Source organism: Homo sapiens, chromosome 12 (assembly GCF_000001405.40).
Source record: "Homo sapiens chromosome 12, GRCh38.p14 Primary Assembly".
Taxonomy (NCBI): domain Eukaryota; kingdom Metazoa; phylum Chordata; class Mammalia; order Primates; family Hominidae; genus Homo; species Homo sapiens.
The window spans coordinates 113,471,913-113,488,434 of NC_000012.12; the positions used below are offsets into that span (position 1 = coordinate 113,471,913).

Here is a 16,522-nt window from a genome sequence, read left to right on the forward strand (position 1 = left end):
CGTGGCGCTGCACGTAGGGGGCCCAGCGGCCAATGGGCGCACCGTGGCCATGGCAACCTCTTAAATTTATAGCATATCTAAATTGGCTACAGCGTTGCTGTCCGGACAGAGCAAAAAAAACAAGGCATCAGTATTGTTGAGTATTAGCTTGTACCTGGTTCGGAGGCTAAGTAAGTATTTACCTTCCAGTTTGGGGCTGACGGGGCGGGGGCAGCGCGAAACGAAAATTGCGTCTCTCTTCCTCTCTCTTTCTCCTCACAAATATTTGGGGGTCACGGGTTCCAAGGCCTAGTCCGGGAGGTACCCCTGCCCCCTTCGCCATCCCTGGAACTTGCAGAAGTTGCCCCACGCCCCACACTTCGCTCCCCTTCTCCAGCCCAGCCAGCCCAGATTGGATTCCCCCACCCCCGCGCCCCCTCTGCGCCCTGAAGCTGCGTCAGCGCGGTTCTCCCGGCTCCTGGAGCCGGCCCCGGCTTCTTTTTGTCATACACGGGGCTGGGGCCCAGCCGGGCCTTTCTCATGGAGAGAGCTAGTGGAGACCGCGCGGCCTGGGTAGTTTTCCCCGCCCGGCCGCCGAGCCCAGGCCCAGGCCCAGGGTGGGGAGGCGGGGGAGCAGGAGGGGTGCCATTTGGCCTGGTCCCGAACTCCAGAGTTTCAGGCCTGAGTGCGCTGCTCACGGGGCTCTGAGGGAGATGTGGACAGGGGGAGATTCAGGGTGGACGGGTCTTCCCGCAGACAGCTCGGAGGTGGCACTCACCACGTCTCTCCTTTCCTCGCTGCACCTTCCAGATTCCAGGTCAGCCTATGGGGCACTGTGGTGAGTGGGTCGTACGGCTGAGGCGGGGGACACCAGCGACTATGAGAGCGCTGTTTGTATTCACGCCGTGCGGGCTGGGTGTGCAAGTTCGTCCCCTCATTGGGCGCAGGAGAAGCGGCGCACGTATGTTCCGTGCTCGGCAGGGCGCCCAGAGTGTGAGGAGAGAGAGTGTGTGTGTGTTAAGGGGGAGGGGGGATGTTGGCAGGTGTGCGTGAGGAGGGGGTGTGTGGGTCTGAGTAGGAGAAGGGACCAGGCCTCCTTTCCCCTGGGGCCAGCGTGGCCACCAGGGATCCTAGTTGGGGAAGCCGGGAATGGGCAACCAGGATTTGCCTTTCGCTTCTGGAAAGGGGGCTGAGGGAGTAGGGCCTGGGACCAAGGGCTGGAGCTGGAGGGGTTTGTGCCAGCACTTGGCTGTGAATGTTTGTTTGGGTGTGTTTCCTGAGCTTGTTAGTGTATACTCGCTGTTTGAGAATTCCATTTTTGCATCTGTTTATTGTGTTAGTACCATCAATCCTGTGAGTAAATTTCTGCGTGTGCGTTTTCGTGTGTGCAGATTCGTGTGTTTGTAATTGTGTATGGTCCTGCTAATGTTTGTGTTTATCACTGTGTGCACTTTTATTTTTGTTGGTCTGTGCCTATGTGTGTTTGCTTATTTGAGGATGCATAAATGTGAGGGTGTTTTCATGTGTACGTGTGCATTCACGTAAGAGTGTTTGTGTCTGTGTTTGCAAGCATTGATGTGAAGGTGTACTTTGAAAAATCTGAATGTGTGTGTTTGTGTGTAGGTGAGGGCGTGCATGCTTGAGACCCTGTGTGTATGAGACTGAGCTGGCTTGGTTGTGTTTGTGAGTGCAGAATTCTGAAGAGCTATGTTTGTGTGCCAGTCGCTGTGTGTGTGTGCCTGCAAATGTGTGTATTTGTGCAAACAGTAGTTTTTTGTTTATGCAACTCCTGTAGGCTTTTGTGTGTGTGTGTGTATGTGTGTGTGAGGGGGTTATGTTTGTATTTGTGTTTGTGTGTGTACTCCTAGCTGCGCTTACCTTTGTGGATTCGGAGGTTGAGGGAGCAGGATTTGTGGATGCCTGTGTTGGGGCTCAGGGATGCCCACTTGTCCCCCTTCCTCTCAGGCCTAGCACTGTCCCCCACAGTATCTAGGGGAGGTGATCTTGCTAGGGACAGGGAATTGGTGAGTGCTGGTTACAGAGTGGAGCATTGACTCACCAGCCAGCCCGCTGGAAAAGGAATCCCTAACCCGGGCAGCTTCTGCTTATTGGTGCTGTTACCTGACCCTCTAGCTTGTCAGGGGACAGGCATCTACAGAGCATAGTAGTAACGCTGGTTAGAGCCCAGCTCAACCAGGAACAGGCAGGATGAATCTCACTTGGCCTCCTAGGCTCGGCCATGAGAGACTTCAAATGGAACTGCAGTTTCTGGCAGCACTTGGCCCTGCCCGCCTGGGCTTAAAGGATCCTTGAGCTCTGGCAGGGGCAGAGCTGGAAAGAAATAAGAACCCGAAGAGGAGAGAGGTGCTCAGGCTCCCGGCAGAGGTGAACTGTACTGCCTTCTCCGTCTTTGTCTCACTAGGCTTTTTCTGTCTCTCCCGAGTTCTCACCATATCTCTTTTCCTTTCTGTCTCCGTTTTTCTCTTATGCTCAGAATCTGTTCTCTTTCTGTTTCATTTTCTCTTGGTTCTCCCTTGTTTTCTTTCTCCATTTCTCTCTCTCTCTTTTTTTTTGTTCTCCTCCCCTGGCCTCTCTGCTGGAGCTTCCAAATCCAGCATCCGACTCAAAGCTGAGATGAATGCTCCTTATTTTGCATCGTGCAGATTTTGGGGTGTGGGGGGAAGACTTGCACCCCCACCACGTGCTTCATGATCATTCAGAACCTCCATCCAACCACTTTCTTCTCTGCTCCAGACTAGGCACACTGAGCCCATTCTCCCCCAAACCCCACAAAATATGCAAAGTGCCCTGTCTGGTGTGTGTTTCCAGCCCAGGCTTTGCCCACCCATTGGTGGTGGCTGGGGGCCTGTGTACCCAGCTCTATCTGAATCTCAGATCCACTAGTCCTCATCTCCCAGAGAGCTTCAATGCATAGCCAGGCTCTAACAACCGTGTGGCCAGGCCAGGGAGGTCGTAGGAAGAGGGAAGAAGATGAGAGCAGCCCTGAGTAGGGATGAGCGTCAGTCACCTGGGGCTGGATGTTTGGTTGCAGGAGATGAGGACTCTGTTTCCAGAAGCCCTGGTCTGATCTTCCATCTCTTGTAGGGGAACTCACCAATCCTGCCCTTGTTGCAGTCCCCTAGAGTTGCGTTGGGGGCCTCATCCTCAGTACAGCTCAGCCCCAGTTCGAGAACTCCCTGGACCTGGGCTCAGCCAAGCTGCCCAGAACCCGCCCGGCCTTCTCTAGCCCACCACCTTCCCCGGTGCACAGCATCGGAAAATGCCAGCAGACCAGCTATTAGACTCATCCCGACCTAACAGCGCTAACAGATGGCGACCAGGCAGCGAAATCCCCTCCTATATGTAACTAATAAACCGCTTGTGTCTTAACAGGGTAATGCATGGAGACGCAATGTCACTTATACAAGATGTTGATGGAATTTACTATATAAAAATCTTCCTCCTAGAGTAAAGAGTATCAACATTACAACTCGACAGACGGCGGCGGGATAAGTAAAACAGACAAAAGACAAACAAGATAATAATCTGTTTCCAATCACTTAAGCCCTGTAGAGTTAGTAATATGCGGTTTGCATATTCCCCCTTGAGTTCGGTAATTAATTACTGGCGAGGAGGCGCACACTAGCCTGGGGTGGGAGTTTTGGGGAGCGCTGAGCTGGGGCGTGGGGCATACCTCTCTTGAGTTCTCCAGCCCGGGACACCGGGCAGCGGCCGGAATGAGGGCGCTTCCAGAGGTTTGGAGCTGACCCACCCGCGGGTTGAAGAGGTCGTTTCAGTTGCACCTCCCTATTCCTCACCGGAAAGCCTCCGGCCTGGGAGATTCTGCAGCCAAGCAGGAAAGGGGGTCTTCTCTGGCAGCCAGTGTCTCTCCTGGCTCCTCTTAAAGCATCCTCTCCTTCGAACGGCCGGGAGTGGCAGCTTTATTGGGAAACGCGCGCTCTGGGGGCCCAGGTGGCTGGGGGGACCGGAGAGGCGCGCGCTTTGCCCACTTCTCTTGGTGGCATCTTGTGCGACCCAGCCCGTCCTCTCCCGACTTCGATCATTACCGCTCCCACCCCAACACGCATACTTCCCCCACCCCACCCCCAAGAGCCAGCGCGGCTTTAACATTAAACAAACGCAGCGAGCGCCTCCGAGCTGCGCTCTCGGCCGGGTCTGCGCGGCGGCGGCGGCGTTACAAATTGTAAATTTAAATTGCTCGCCGGATTCATTACCTCCCCTCTTTGATTTCAGCCAGCCGTGAAAAATTATACTGGTGTACCACTGAGAAACTGTTTTGCCGCAAAGAGCCTACGCCTAATCACTGGCTTTCTCCCTCCGACAAAAGTGTAATTATTTTGTTTGGGGTGTAAATATAGGCCGCGCCTCGCACACACACTCAGCGTCCCGCAGCGCCGCAGAGCACCGCCCGCCGCCGGAAGGAATCGGGCCCCCGAGTAGGAGCGGGCGTGAAGGCTGAGCCCCGCTGTCTGGAGGCCGGAGGAGAGCGGCTGGTGTGGCGCTCCGGCGAGACCCAGCGAGCCCAGCCTCTGCCCTCCGCAGTTCGGGTTTGCCCGAGAACCTCGGGACCGCGCGCTCCCAGGCGGGCCAGAGAGGACGCCGGCGGGGTGCAATGGGTGCTCAGGCCTAGACATCCGGGCAGGGATGCGAGAGGGATGGCGGGGGTGGGAGTGGGGTGGGTGGGGGGTGGTGGTGAATTTTCTGGGGAACCCTTGGGGGTGGCCGTCTGAGAGCGGCCCGGAGCCCAGGCGGGGAGAGTGTCCTGGCCTGGGTGGAACCCTGGGAGGCGGGGGCGTCGTGGCTGGTGTGCCCCACTGGCGCTAGGCCGTGGATTGCTTGGTTTCCAGAACATCTCTGCGGGGCGCAGGGCCTTCCTGTCAGTTGAATCGTGCTCGGCTTAATTAACGGTCTCGTTAACTGGGCAGGCCCGACCCGGGACGTTTAATCAAAAAGGCAGGGAATTCCTCCTCCCTCTCTTCTCTCCTCCTTCCCTCCCTCCCTCCCCCTTCCCTTTCTTTTCCTTTTCGTTTCTTCCTTCCTTCCCTCCCTCCCTCCCTCCCTCCCTTCCTTCCTTCCTTACATCCTTCCTTCCTTCCCTCCCTCCCTTCCTCCCTCCCTCCCTTTCTTCCTTCCCTCCCTCCCTCCCTTCTTCCTTCCTTCCTTCCTTTCTTCCTTCCTTCCTTCCCTCCCTCCCTCCCTCCCTCCCTTTCTTCCTTCCCTCCCTCCCTCCCTTCTTCCTTCCTTCCTTCCTTTGGAGAGCTGCAGGAAGTGGGAATTAAACAATGGCATCTCCCACCAAGTTTTCTCCCTGCCCAATCTTCCTCTGCATTCACCCCCCAGCACAGGAAAGCAGGGCTCTGAGTCTAAACTAAACCCCAGTCCAATATCCGGGCTGGAACTTTAAGGGGGCTTCCTGTGGGACCCGGCAGGGGTGGGCCAACTCTGAGTCAGACTTCTGGGGCTGTAGCATCAGGGGCCCTAGCTAGTGGAAGTCCACTGGGCCTACTACCCCTCAGGGGACAGGCCCTGGATCTTGGTGGTTGGAGCAGGTGGAGAGGGCAGTGGCTGAGATCCAGCCTCCAAGTGAGTGTGTGCGCTGGTGAGTGCCGGCCAGCTCAGAGGTCTCTCTGGAGTGAGTGTGTGCGCTGGTGAGTGCCAGTCAGCTCAGAGGTCCCTCTGGAGCTGCAGCAGGGCGTGGGTTTCCCTCCTTCCTTACTGCAAGCCCCTCTCCTGGAATGCACCCCTCCCCTAGAGGTCCCACACCTTGGGCTATCTGGCAAGCAAAAACAGGCTACTTTCTCCTGCTGGGTGCTCCTTCCCCGGGCAAAACACACTTAGTTGCTGGGAGGGTGAAGTCTGGGGCTGATCCCTGGGGGCCAGAAGGGGGCCTGGGAGAGACAGAAGGAAAGCAGCAAGCCAGTCCTCCAACCTGTAAGGGAAACACTGACTTTTTTTTTGTTCTGAGAGGAAAGCCCTGTACTTAACACAGAGCGGCCCACTTCCCCATGGGTGAAGCTTGGATTCCAGGCTGCCAGTTGCACTGGAGGAGCAGTGGGTCCCAGCTGGGCACTGAGCACAGTCAGGCTTCTCTTCATCCTCGCATAGATGGTTGGGCCTGGAGGCTGGCCCTGGACTTTTGGGGTCTCAGGGCAGGCAGTACTTGGTCGTGAGAGGCTGTAGTCTTGCCCCTCTGGCCCCACTGAGACTATCTGATGGTAGAGGCCATGAACCAGGCCTTGGGAGCTATTTCTAAGAAGACAGCTGCAGCCCCACTCCAGCTCCTGTGCCCCAAGAAGAAGAGCTTTGCAGGGACCCCATCCTCCAAAATAGAACCCCGGACTTTCTAATGATCTCGCTCCAACCAGCAGAGCCATCTTTCAGTCTGGGTCTGCTTCCTCTTTCTTTTCTCTTGGCCTTTTTTTCGGTATCAAGAGAACACGCTCTCCCCTTCTCTCTCTCCATTCTCTCCCAGCCTCTCTCCCGCCCCTCCATATCCCACCTCCTTTTTGTTAGCCTAATACGGGTTACTTTAGAATTGGCCCGACTTTGGCAGCCCCAGCGCTGCGTGTGTGTGTGTGTGCCTGCGTGTGTGTGTGCGCGTGTGTGTGTGTGTGCCTGCGCGTGTATTTCTCGCTTGCTAATGATTGTGTGTTGATAGAGTGATGCAGTGGCCTCATTAGCCTTTGTTTAGAAGGTGTTAAAAGGGAAATCTGCATCGGGAAAGCGGCGGTTTACGCAGCAGCCCGGCTGAACACCGCGAGCCAAGGGGCTGGGGGGCGGGGACGGTGCCCACCCCCCAGGCCCCCACTCTTCCCCCAGGCGCCCACCGCCGCGGACCCCGGGAGGGAGGAGGGGTCCGGGGAAAGCGACCCCAGCTCCTTCCTCCCAAGGCGAGTATGTTTACCCTGCTGGGCACCCTTCCGCTCCGCGGGGACCACTGCGGGATCGCGCTCTCTAAAACTCCTCTCAACTGCCCCGCAGTGCGCGGCGGCCTTTTCCGCCAGGTTTTTTGGGGAGGGGGAAGGGGAGGACAGAGTGCTTCCCCTTCGAAAAAATTCCAAGGGATGTTTTTGAGGGTAGGGGTGAAGTATCTTATTTTAGAGGCAAATACAAATCGGTCCGCAGAAGCCGGGGTCTTCTGGGTGGTTGGTTGGGGGTGAGCTCCCTGTACCCCGATGCCCATGTGGGGGCCCCAGGCTTTAGGGAACCTGCGAAAAGGCCTCTTTCTTTCCTCCTATGGTATTCACAGACAGCCACAGGAAGAGCCTTCCGTGCGTGGGCGGGGGTTGGAGAGGGTTCATTCTTAAACTTTCTTTCCCAGGTCTACCCCTACCCTAGGGCCCCACTTCGGGAACAAATTCCGTGAGAATAAAATCATAGCTAGGCTGGCCTACTTCCCTAAAGCTTGGTGGAAGCGAGTAACTTTATTGAGTCTGGGCTAGAGGGTGTGTGTGTGTTTGTGTGTGTGTGCGTGCGTGTGTGGTGTTTGTTTACATATGTGTGTGGGATTTGGCGAGTGAGCTTCGTGCACGGCATTTTTCACCCTCTGGAAGAAGCCAGATTTCGGGCAAGGTAGAACGTGAGAAGAATCCCTTTTATACTGGCTCCTACGAAAGGAACCAGAAAAAAAAATAATACACATTTTGAGCAGCCTCTGTGGGTGCAGCTTGTTGAACTCGGAGCCAGACGCTTTTTCTGGCGAAACGGAGAAAAAACGCCGCGGAAACGGTGCGCAGGGTTGGGGAGTATAGGTTCTGATTGCAACATAATTCCGCAAGCTTTTTTATTTTTTATTTTTCCCGGGACGCGGTTGCGTCGGAAGAAACGCTTTCTAATCTTTCTAGCTCCCTGGATTTGAAGTTGCGGGTCTTGGGGCGAGGCTTAGCTGGTCTGGGGGTCCTTGCGTGTCCACAGCCCCGGATACGCACCCGCGAAACGTTCGACATCGCCGCTTTTTTGTTTTGTTTTGCTTTGTTTTTTTAGTCGAAGGCGAGGCGTTGTTTGGGGACAGATCGCGGCCGGCTGGGGCCTCGGGCAGTGACAGTGAAACGAATTCCAAACCCATTCTGAACTCGCCATGGCGCTCTCCTGCCCTCCAACACCCACCCCAAACACCGTGTAGGCAGAAGCGAGGTTCCCCGTGAAGCCGGGTTAAAATCGGCAGCTGAGATGCGGTGGGATGGGATCATAGCCGAGTTCGGAGGATGCGGGGAGAGAATAGAAAAATCTCCATCGTTCTGCTCTGCTCTCTTTCTTTCTCCTCTAAGCAGGTTTGCCGGAGAAGGCAGGGGTGAGCCACGGTGGCTGCCCGGCTGTGCACCGGCGCCGGAGTTTGGACCAAGACAAAGACAGGAGCTGTCCGCGGTGCTGAATCGGCGGCGCCGTCGCCGGAGCAAGGGGGCTTCTGTAACCAGCCCTCTGCTCATTTACTCCCCATCCTTCTAGCTCCCCTTCGCTCTGTGACTCTTGCCTTCCCCTGAATTTATTTCCCTTTTGGGGGACTCACCTTAGAACCTGCGCCCTGTACACAGGTGTATATACATATATCAAAGAACAAAACGATTGATTGAAAACGGTGTCTTCTCCTTTCTTCCCAAATAAATGATGTTAGAAAGGTTTATTTTAACTGTACCCTAAAACGGAGAGAAATGGATATTTCTACTCCTAAATAAATGGAAATTCATGTTAAAAACAATAGAGCTAACCTATAACAAATGTCACGAATCTGCCCTCTGATTTATTCTGATAAAGAGGCAATGGGTTTAGAAATTTTAGTTTTGGGAATATCATATCCCTGGCATCTTAACTTCTTGGGTAGAAAAACATAAGAGCTGGAAGCGGGGGGCGGGGGGACTGGTGGTGAACAGACTAAGGCACCTGCCTACGTGAAGAAAGATGGCTTGTGAAGGCCAAAGTGATGGACATGAAGTTGCCTTAACCCTTTGAGACAGAGATGGGATCTGTAAGGATGTCAATCTTCAGGATCAGTAGTAAGAGGAAAGTGATTCCTTTGGAAAGTTTGGATACAAAAGTTAATCTGGTGCTTAATTTTCTAAATGTTCATGGTGTTACCTAGGCATCTGGCATGGTGCATAACCAAGTGTGTTCCTCTGTTCAAATTAGTATGCAGTACTTTCCTAAATAAGTTTGTGCAGGGTAGGAAAAAAAATCACATTTTCCCTCCCTCGTGGGGGAGCACCCATTTTAGTGCACAGAGAGCTGTGTATGTTTCCTCTGGCATCTCATAGATACACTGCCTCCCAGAGAGCCTAGATGCCTTAGGGCCACATCTTCATTTGGTCTTCTCAGCACCCTCCAGGCCTCCCCACTGCAGGAGTGTCAGCTATGCCCAGTTGTTAGTATTGCCAGTACATATGAAGGGGGAGGGGTCCTTGTGAGTTCAATGGAATACAATAACTCCGGCTCCCTACCTGAACATTGAAGAGCTAATTTGCCCACAAAGGCAGAGGAACCAGAATTCTCAAACCCAAAGGATTTGCAATAAAGGGTTGTATCTTTGGGTTAGGGGAGTGACACTCCAGTTTCTCTAGACCCTGACTGTTATCTTTTCACTTAAGCACCCTTAGATCTTTGATTAGGACCAATGTGGTCACTCCTTTGGACCATGCACCTCTATCCCTCTCAGAATGCAGAGCCACATGGTACTAGGAGAGACGTCCTGACCTTGGGTGGGTGAAGGATAAATTTTGTTAAAAATCCATTTATTTAGTGATCACTCTGTACATCTGGTTCCTTAATCTTCATTGCAAATCTAAACATTAGTAGATATATATCATGGCCCTATTTTATGGGTGAGGAAACTGAGGCCCAGAAATATTTATTAAGTTGCTTATAGGTATGCTGTGAAGGCCTGTGATTCTAACCCAGATCTCATTGGCTTTGGAGACTGTGCTTACTCTAATAACCCATGATATTAGAGCCACATAGATGGTTACATTGTGGTTACAATGGTATATATATATATATATATATATATATATATATATATATATATATGTATTTAGCACAGTCCCATTGAATTCCCTGGCCATCATGGCCTGTGGTCTAGACTTCAATTTGCCTTAAGTCCTAAATTTGAAAGGAAGGAGTGAAAATGGTGAGGACAGAGGCTCTCATTTCATGTGGGTTGGGTGGGCATTTCGCAGAATGGGACCAGCTTAATATGAAAATCTCTTGGACCCACACTTAGGAGTCATCCTTGATTTCCCCTTTCTCTCCTGCCTCACACACAATCCATCAGCAAGTTCAGTTAGCTCTGCCTCCAAAATACATTCCAACCCATCTAATTCTCATCTTTTCCTCCATTATCACCCCGGTCGAAGCCACCACCATCTCATCTGTTTTATAGCAGTAGCCTCCTGACCGGGCTCCCTGATTCTTCTATCCTTGCCCTCATCTACAATCTAGTCTCCACACTATAACTAAACTTATATTTTAAAATCATAAATCAGGTCTTGTCATTCTGCTTTTAACCCTCCAACAACTCCCCATTGCACTTAGAATAAAATCCATACTCCTCACCCTGGTCTGCAGGGCTCTTTGTGATTGGTTTTTGCTAGCCTCGCCCCCACCCCTGCTGTGGCTCACACAGACCTAGTTTTTCTCACCTCAAGACCTTTGCACTAGGCTTCCCCTCTGCCCTCAGATTCTTACACTGTTGGTTCCCTTTTGTCATTTAGATCTCAGCTCAAATGTCAGCTTTTCAAAGAAACCTCTCCTGACCACCTTGTCTAAAAGCACCCCATCCCCAGTCACTCTCTAGCCCTCCTCCCTGTCTATTTTCTTTGTAGCTTTTATCAATATCTAGAATTATTCTATTTATATGTTTAGGAGCATATTGTGTATTTCTTAATAAAATATCAGTTCCAAGAGGGCAGACAGACTGTGTTTGTCTTGCTCACTGTTGAATCCCCAATGCCTAGCTCAGTACCTGGAACATAGTTGTTCAATACATATTTGTTGACTGAATGAATAATGAATGAATACATAGACAGAGTTACAGAAGTGAATGGAGATGGATGGGCAGAGCTGAGACAAGACTGAGCTTTATTTGCCCATCTTCTGAGGTCTGCAAATGGAGCAGCTGGCTGGGTAGGTTTCCAGTTTGGAAAGAGGACGAAAGAAAAGCTTATCCAAGGACCCCAAGAGAATGCAGTCATTGGGTGGATTCTTCAGACTAGACACAGAATCACATTGGGGTGGAGAAACAGGTCTGTGGCCTCAGAGAGTGATTTTTATTGTTCTTGCTGGATCTGAAATCTCCGCTTGGTTACAAAAAAACAAAAAAGAGTGATAGTGGAAAACACAATGAATCAAGAAGACATCTAAATTACACAATTTTTGGAAAGGTTACCAGTCCCATCTGTGGGGGAGCTGATGGAGTATAGTGTTAACATCCAGACTCTGGGACCCAGTGCTCCTGTGTTGGAATCTGGCTTCATCACTTACCAGCTGTGCAATAGACGGCAAGTCACTTAGCTTCTTTGTGCCTCAGTTTCCACATTTGAGGGATGGGGATAAAAGTGTGTACTTGTTTCTATGGCAGCTGTCACATAAAAAAGGTGTATGTCTGTCTCAGAGAGTAGCCATGAGGGATTGTTTTGGTCTGTTTTATTTGTGTTAGAGCCTTGCATAGGAGAAAAAAGGAAGCAGAGTAGTAAGAGATGGGGGAAGGCAATGGAGCAAAGAGGCTGTGATGCAAAGGGGAAAAGATGGGACTTACTGTTTAAGAGCTCATCTCCTTCAAGAGCTCTTCTATTACCTGTGGAGGTAGAAGAGGGCTCTGAAGTTAGAGGAGCTGGCTCAGAGTCCTAGTAGCTCCCATGCTAACCCGCTCATGAATGGCAGGTGGGAATGCCCAGCCTCCCTGAATCTCAGTCTCCTAATCCGTTAAATGGGGCAGTAATGGTGCCTGCCTTAGAGAGTTATCGGGATCATTTAGGGAAATGATGTTTGGGAAACTGGGAAGCACCCTGAGCAGTAGCTGGTGTTACTGGTCCTTGTTTGGGGGCGACTTTCTTTATTCTTTACAAAAAGAAGGGTGTTTTTTTTTTTTTCAGGTGAAAGCAAGTGAATTCATTTGGTTGGACCTTGAAATAGTTAGAGAAAGAAGGTGAGGGTTGTCTTCTTGGAGAGAGGTGTAGAGAGCTATGTGCTTGGAGTTATGAAAGGACCTTTCAATATCCAGTCTGAGGGCTGGGGCTGGCCTGCCTTCACACAGAGCTCATTCCCATAGGTTTTATTTGAGCCACTGTCACCCTGCAGGGGAGCTTTCCTGTACATAACAGAAGCATTCTGCAAAGATGTGTGTCCATTCCACGTCTCCTACCCTTTACCCCTTGAACAAAACTCAATAATACTGAACAAAACTCAATAATACTGAGCCCTACTATGAGAAAGAGCCTGTGCTGGGACCGGGGGATGGTGTTTATAAAGGTAAATTAGAAACACGCAAAGCACTCTCCTTCATTTGTTCATTTGGTAAACATGTATTGGACACCTACTGTGTGTGCCTGGGAATGTACCAGAGGCTGCAGAAGCCACTGTGAATGAGCACCTCCCACCGCCCCTACAAGCTGCTCATAGCCTAGCAGAGGAGACCTATACATCAACACAAATTTCTGTACATCTACACGTTACTCTGGATATCAGAGAAAGAAGGGCTATTTATTCATTTATTCACCAAAAAGTGTATGAAGCTGGATGCCTTTGGTTCAGTTATTCACTCTGAGGCTCATTTTCCTCATTTGTAAACCAGGAAAAATAATAATGATAAAAGAAACTAATAACCTCATGGAGTTGTTGGGAGGATTAAATGAGAAGACGAATGTAAGGGGCTTAGCACGGTGCGTGGCACAAGGCAAATGCCCAACTTATGATGGCTTCAATAAATTATTAGTGATGAAATATTAAGTAATAACAATAACATTACAGACTTGCTGAATAGTTGTTTGGAATGGATGCATGAAAGTGCCTTGTCTACAAAAAGCAATCAATACATATTTACAGAATGAAATTGTGCTCTTATTAAGAAAAATAGGAAGGGGCGTGCCTCCGTGTGAAGGAGGAGGATATGAGAACTTCCTGGATCAGATCTCCAGAGACACTAATGTGATCTACTCAGGGTTAAAAAAAGTCCTTTTCTCCCCCTAAAGCCAGCAGGTACTTCTGCCTTCCCTCCCTCTTCTCTTTCACCTTCTACCCACCACTGTTAACCTGTGTGTCTCTTTCCCTCTTCCTGTCCCCTCCTCTTTTGGGAAGCTGCCTTCACATCAGTGGTTCTCCCTGGGAGAGTAGGAAAGGGAATTTTGTTTCCCAAGGAACATTTGGCAATGCCTAGAGACATGTTTGGTTGACACAATTGAGTGGTGATGCTACTGTAGATAGAGGCCAGGGATGCTGCTCAACACCCTACAATATACAGAAGGGTGCCCTGCTTCTCCTGCAGCCCCAGAATTATTCAGCTCAAAATGTCAATAGTGCAGAGGTGAAGACAACCTGCCTCACATCCTGTGGCTGGTAACAAGCCCAGGTTCCCCTGCCCAGCCCCACTGAACGTCCCACTGGGAAGGGGGTGTGTCACTCCCAGCCAGGCCCCGCCCTCTCTCCCCTGAGCCAGTGGGGATCCCTGGCTGGTCAGAGTTCCAGGGCCAGCTGCTGCATGGGCTTTTCCAAGACCTCTCTCTCCTGGTGGGCAAATGTGAAAACCTCTCAGAACCTCTTTGCCTTTCTCCCTCTTTCTAGGAGGCTTTGGCATTTTTGAGGTCCTGAGGAAACCAGACCTCAGAACCTCAAAAGTTGCCATTGGGTCCCTCTCTGGTGAGAGCTGATCCAGCTATTTTGCACATAGCTCTCAGCCTGGCCAAGTGCCCTGTGGAGTCTGCAGGCACGGTGTGCGCAGAGGTGGCCAGGCGGTCGGGGACAAGATGATTGTAAAGTTTGAGAGGCATTACAAGTCCTTCTGGTCTAAAAGATGTCCCCCTTCTGATCTGTTTCAGTGCAAGGCAACTCCACCATTAGCATCACTTCTTGGGCGCTCTTGGGAAGGTAAGCAGCAGTGACAACTTGTCTGGAGATTGCATGTGCCGGGCACTGTGCAAAGCGCTTCCCATGTGTCATCAGCGTAGGCACTGTTATTCCATCCATTTCACAGATGAGGAAACTGAGGTGCAGAGAGGTTGAGCAACTCTTCCAGGATTTCGCAGCCAGTCATTAGCAAAGCCAAGATTGAGGCAAATTTGGAGAGAGTAGGTAGAAAGAACATCAGCTAGTGTCGGGGACAAGCCACAGTCAGCACTCGGAGGCCTGGTTCTGCCTTGGGGCTTACTGTGAGGCTTTGGGAAAGTTCCTAAACCTCTCTGTTCCACCCTTCAATCTGTGAATTAGGAGTTGCATGTCCCCAGCCCAAATTACATTGGCCAGAGCTTCCTGGGGAACTATATTAGCGCCATCTGAAGTGTAATGACTGATATTTGGCAGACATAGAGTTCTGTTTCCTTCTGAGGGCAAACTGATCATGAAGAGGAGCCACTCAGAGACCAGGTCCTTTCCAGGAATGCGGAGCCAAGATAGGAACCAAAGGGAGGGTTTGGTGGAGCCGGCCCATGGGTATTGAGGGTTGTTCTCTGTCTCTCTCCTTACCTGGGGCTTGGAGCAAAGAGACGTGGAAACCTCACCCATAAATAAATAAATAGATGTCCCTGAAGCAGGGCTTATGTGTACAGATCTGGAGAGAGAACTCAGTCATGGGTCAACCAACAAACATCTATTAGGAGAAAAATACATGCCAGGCCTTTAGTGCAGCTTGCTGTGGATGCAAAGATGTTAGAGATTCTTGTCTCCAAGATCTCATGGCTTAAGGAGACACCACCCACGACCTGGCTCCTGAATGTCAGCTCTATCTACCCAACTTCACTGAACTGATTCCAGGAGGGCCCACATACCCCTGAAACTTGGTGTTATCAATGCTGAATCATCACTTTCCCCTCCCTACACCTGCTGCCTCTGTGGCCACTGTCATGAGCTCAGCTGCCTGGGCCAGAAACCCTGCTGGCTCCTTCTCTCTCATCGCACCTCGGATCCATCCCAAATCCTGTTGATTCCCTCTCCTTCATGTCTCTCACCTACCCATGGTCATGCCTCAGTTCAGATCAAAGCCATCTCTTGCCATGACGTTTGGTTCTCACCCTTTCTCTTCCAATCCATTCTTCCTGCCCCAGCCAAAGTGATTTTGTCACAGAATAAAACTGACTAGGTCACTTGTGTGCTTATAACCTGCTCCCTTGTTGCTGTCAAGATAAAATCCCAACCCCATACTTGGTTTCCAAGCCCCTGTCCCCTTCCTTTATATCATCTCTTGCATCTTTTCTCCCCCAGTTTTCTATCATTTGACTGCATTCTCCAGTGTGTTCACTCCCTTCTGAGCCTGTTGTTCCTTTGATCTTAACTATTCTTCCTCCCACTTCCACCCACCTATCTTGCCTTTTGGGTCTCCTCTGAGACAAATCCCCTGTAGGAAACCTTCCATACCCCCATAACTCAGCTGTCTATTTCCCAGCAGGGCACTGAGCTCACGGAGGGCTGGGGCTGGCCTCTACCCACCCCTCCTACCAACATCCAGCCCAGTGTCTGGCTTATAGCCGATGCTAAATAAATAACCAGGGGATGAGTTGATGCAAGGGTCCAGCAACCAGTGACCTCGGCATTTCTGGGAGATGGGGAGACCTGTGAAGTTTTTGTGGGGATTTAGGGTTTCTTTGCGGGGGGTCCAGCTTGACTGAGGAACAGTTGATGTAGAATAAACTGCATATATTTAAAGTGTACAATTTGATGAGCGTTGACATGTACATGCCTGAGAAACTATCAAGGTACACACCTGACACCTCCCCAAAGTCACCTCCTGTCCCTTTATAATCCCTTCTTCCTTCTCCTCCCTGCCTCCACCTCTGGGCAACCACGGATCTGTCTCCTGTCACTGTGGATTAGTTTGCATTTTCTAAACTTTTATAGAAATGGAATCATTCTGTATGTATTCTTTCATGTCTGGCTTCTTTTTCTCAGGCTTTGGCCTGAACTAAGACAGGGCCACAGGTAGGTGAGAGGTGTGAAAGAGAGGGAATCAACAGGGTTAGGGATGGATCTGAGGTGTAGTGACAGGGAAGGGGCCAGCAGGGTTCCTGGCTCAGAGTTGGTTCTGAGCTATGTAATGAAGGATGGGGTATGATTAGACAGGAAGTGGAGGGCATTCTTGTGAGAAGAGAACAATGTGACAAATCCAAAAGTAGAAAACTTTGAGGTAACTAGACCAGGCTGTCGTTCATTCACTCAACAAATATTTATTGAGCTCCAACTATGTGCTAGGCACTCTGCTAGGGACAGGGCTGGAGTGGCGTGCTAGGGGTCTTCTTTTTGCTTCCCTACATCCACTCCCTGACATTTCTCTGCCTGGCCTGGGAGGCTGACCCATTTGGATAGCATCCATGGACTCTCCTTTCACTGGCTT

General features: G+C 51.0%; 1 long non-coding RNA gene across 1 annotated transcript, besides 1 other annotated feature; it reads left to right on the top strand.

Moving 5' to 3' along the window:
- Nucleotides 1–90: 90 nt before the first annotated feature.
- LHX5-AS1 (LHX5 antisense RNA 1) lies at nucleotides 91–8,569 on the top strand. The gene is made up of 2 exons (NR_126425.1): nucleotides 91–170; nucleotides 8,271–8,569. It is a non-coding gene; the product is annotated as an LHX5 antisense RNA 1 (long non-coding RNA).
- Nucleotides 6,343–7,310: an enhancer, noted in NCBI's record as "H3K27ac-H3K4me1 hESC enhancer chr12:113916060-113917027 (GRCh37/hg19 assembly coordinates)". NCBI's record gives its function as "activates a minimal SCP1, AML or CMV promoter by ChIP-STARR-seq in naive H9 embryonic stem cells {active_cell/tissue: H9 hESC(naive)}" and the evidence as "EXISTENCE:reporter gene assay evidence [ECO:0000049][PMID:30033119]".
- Nucleotides 8,570–16,522: the final 7,953 nt, after the last annotated feature.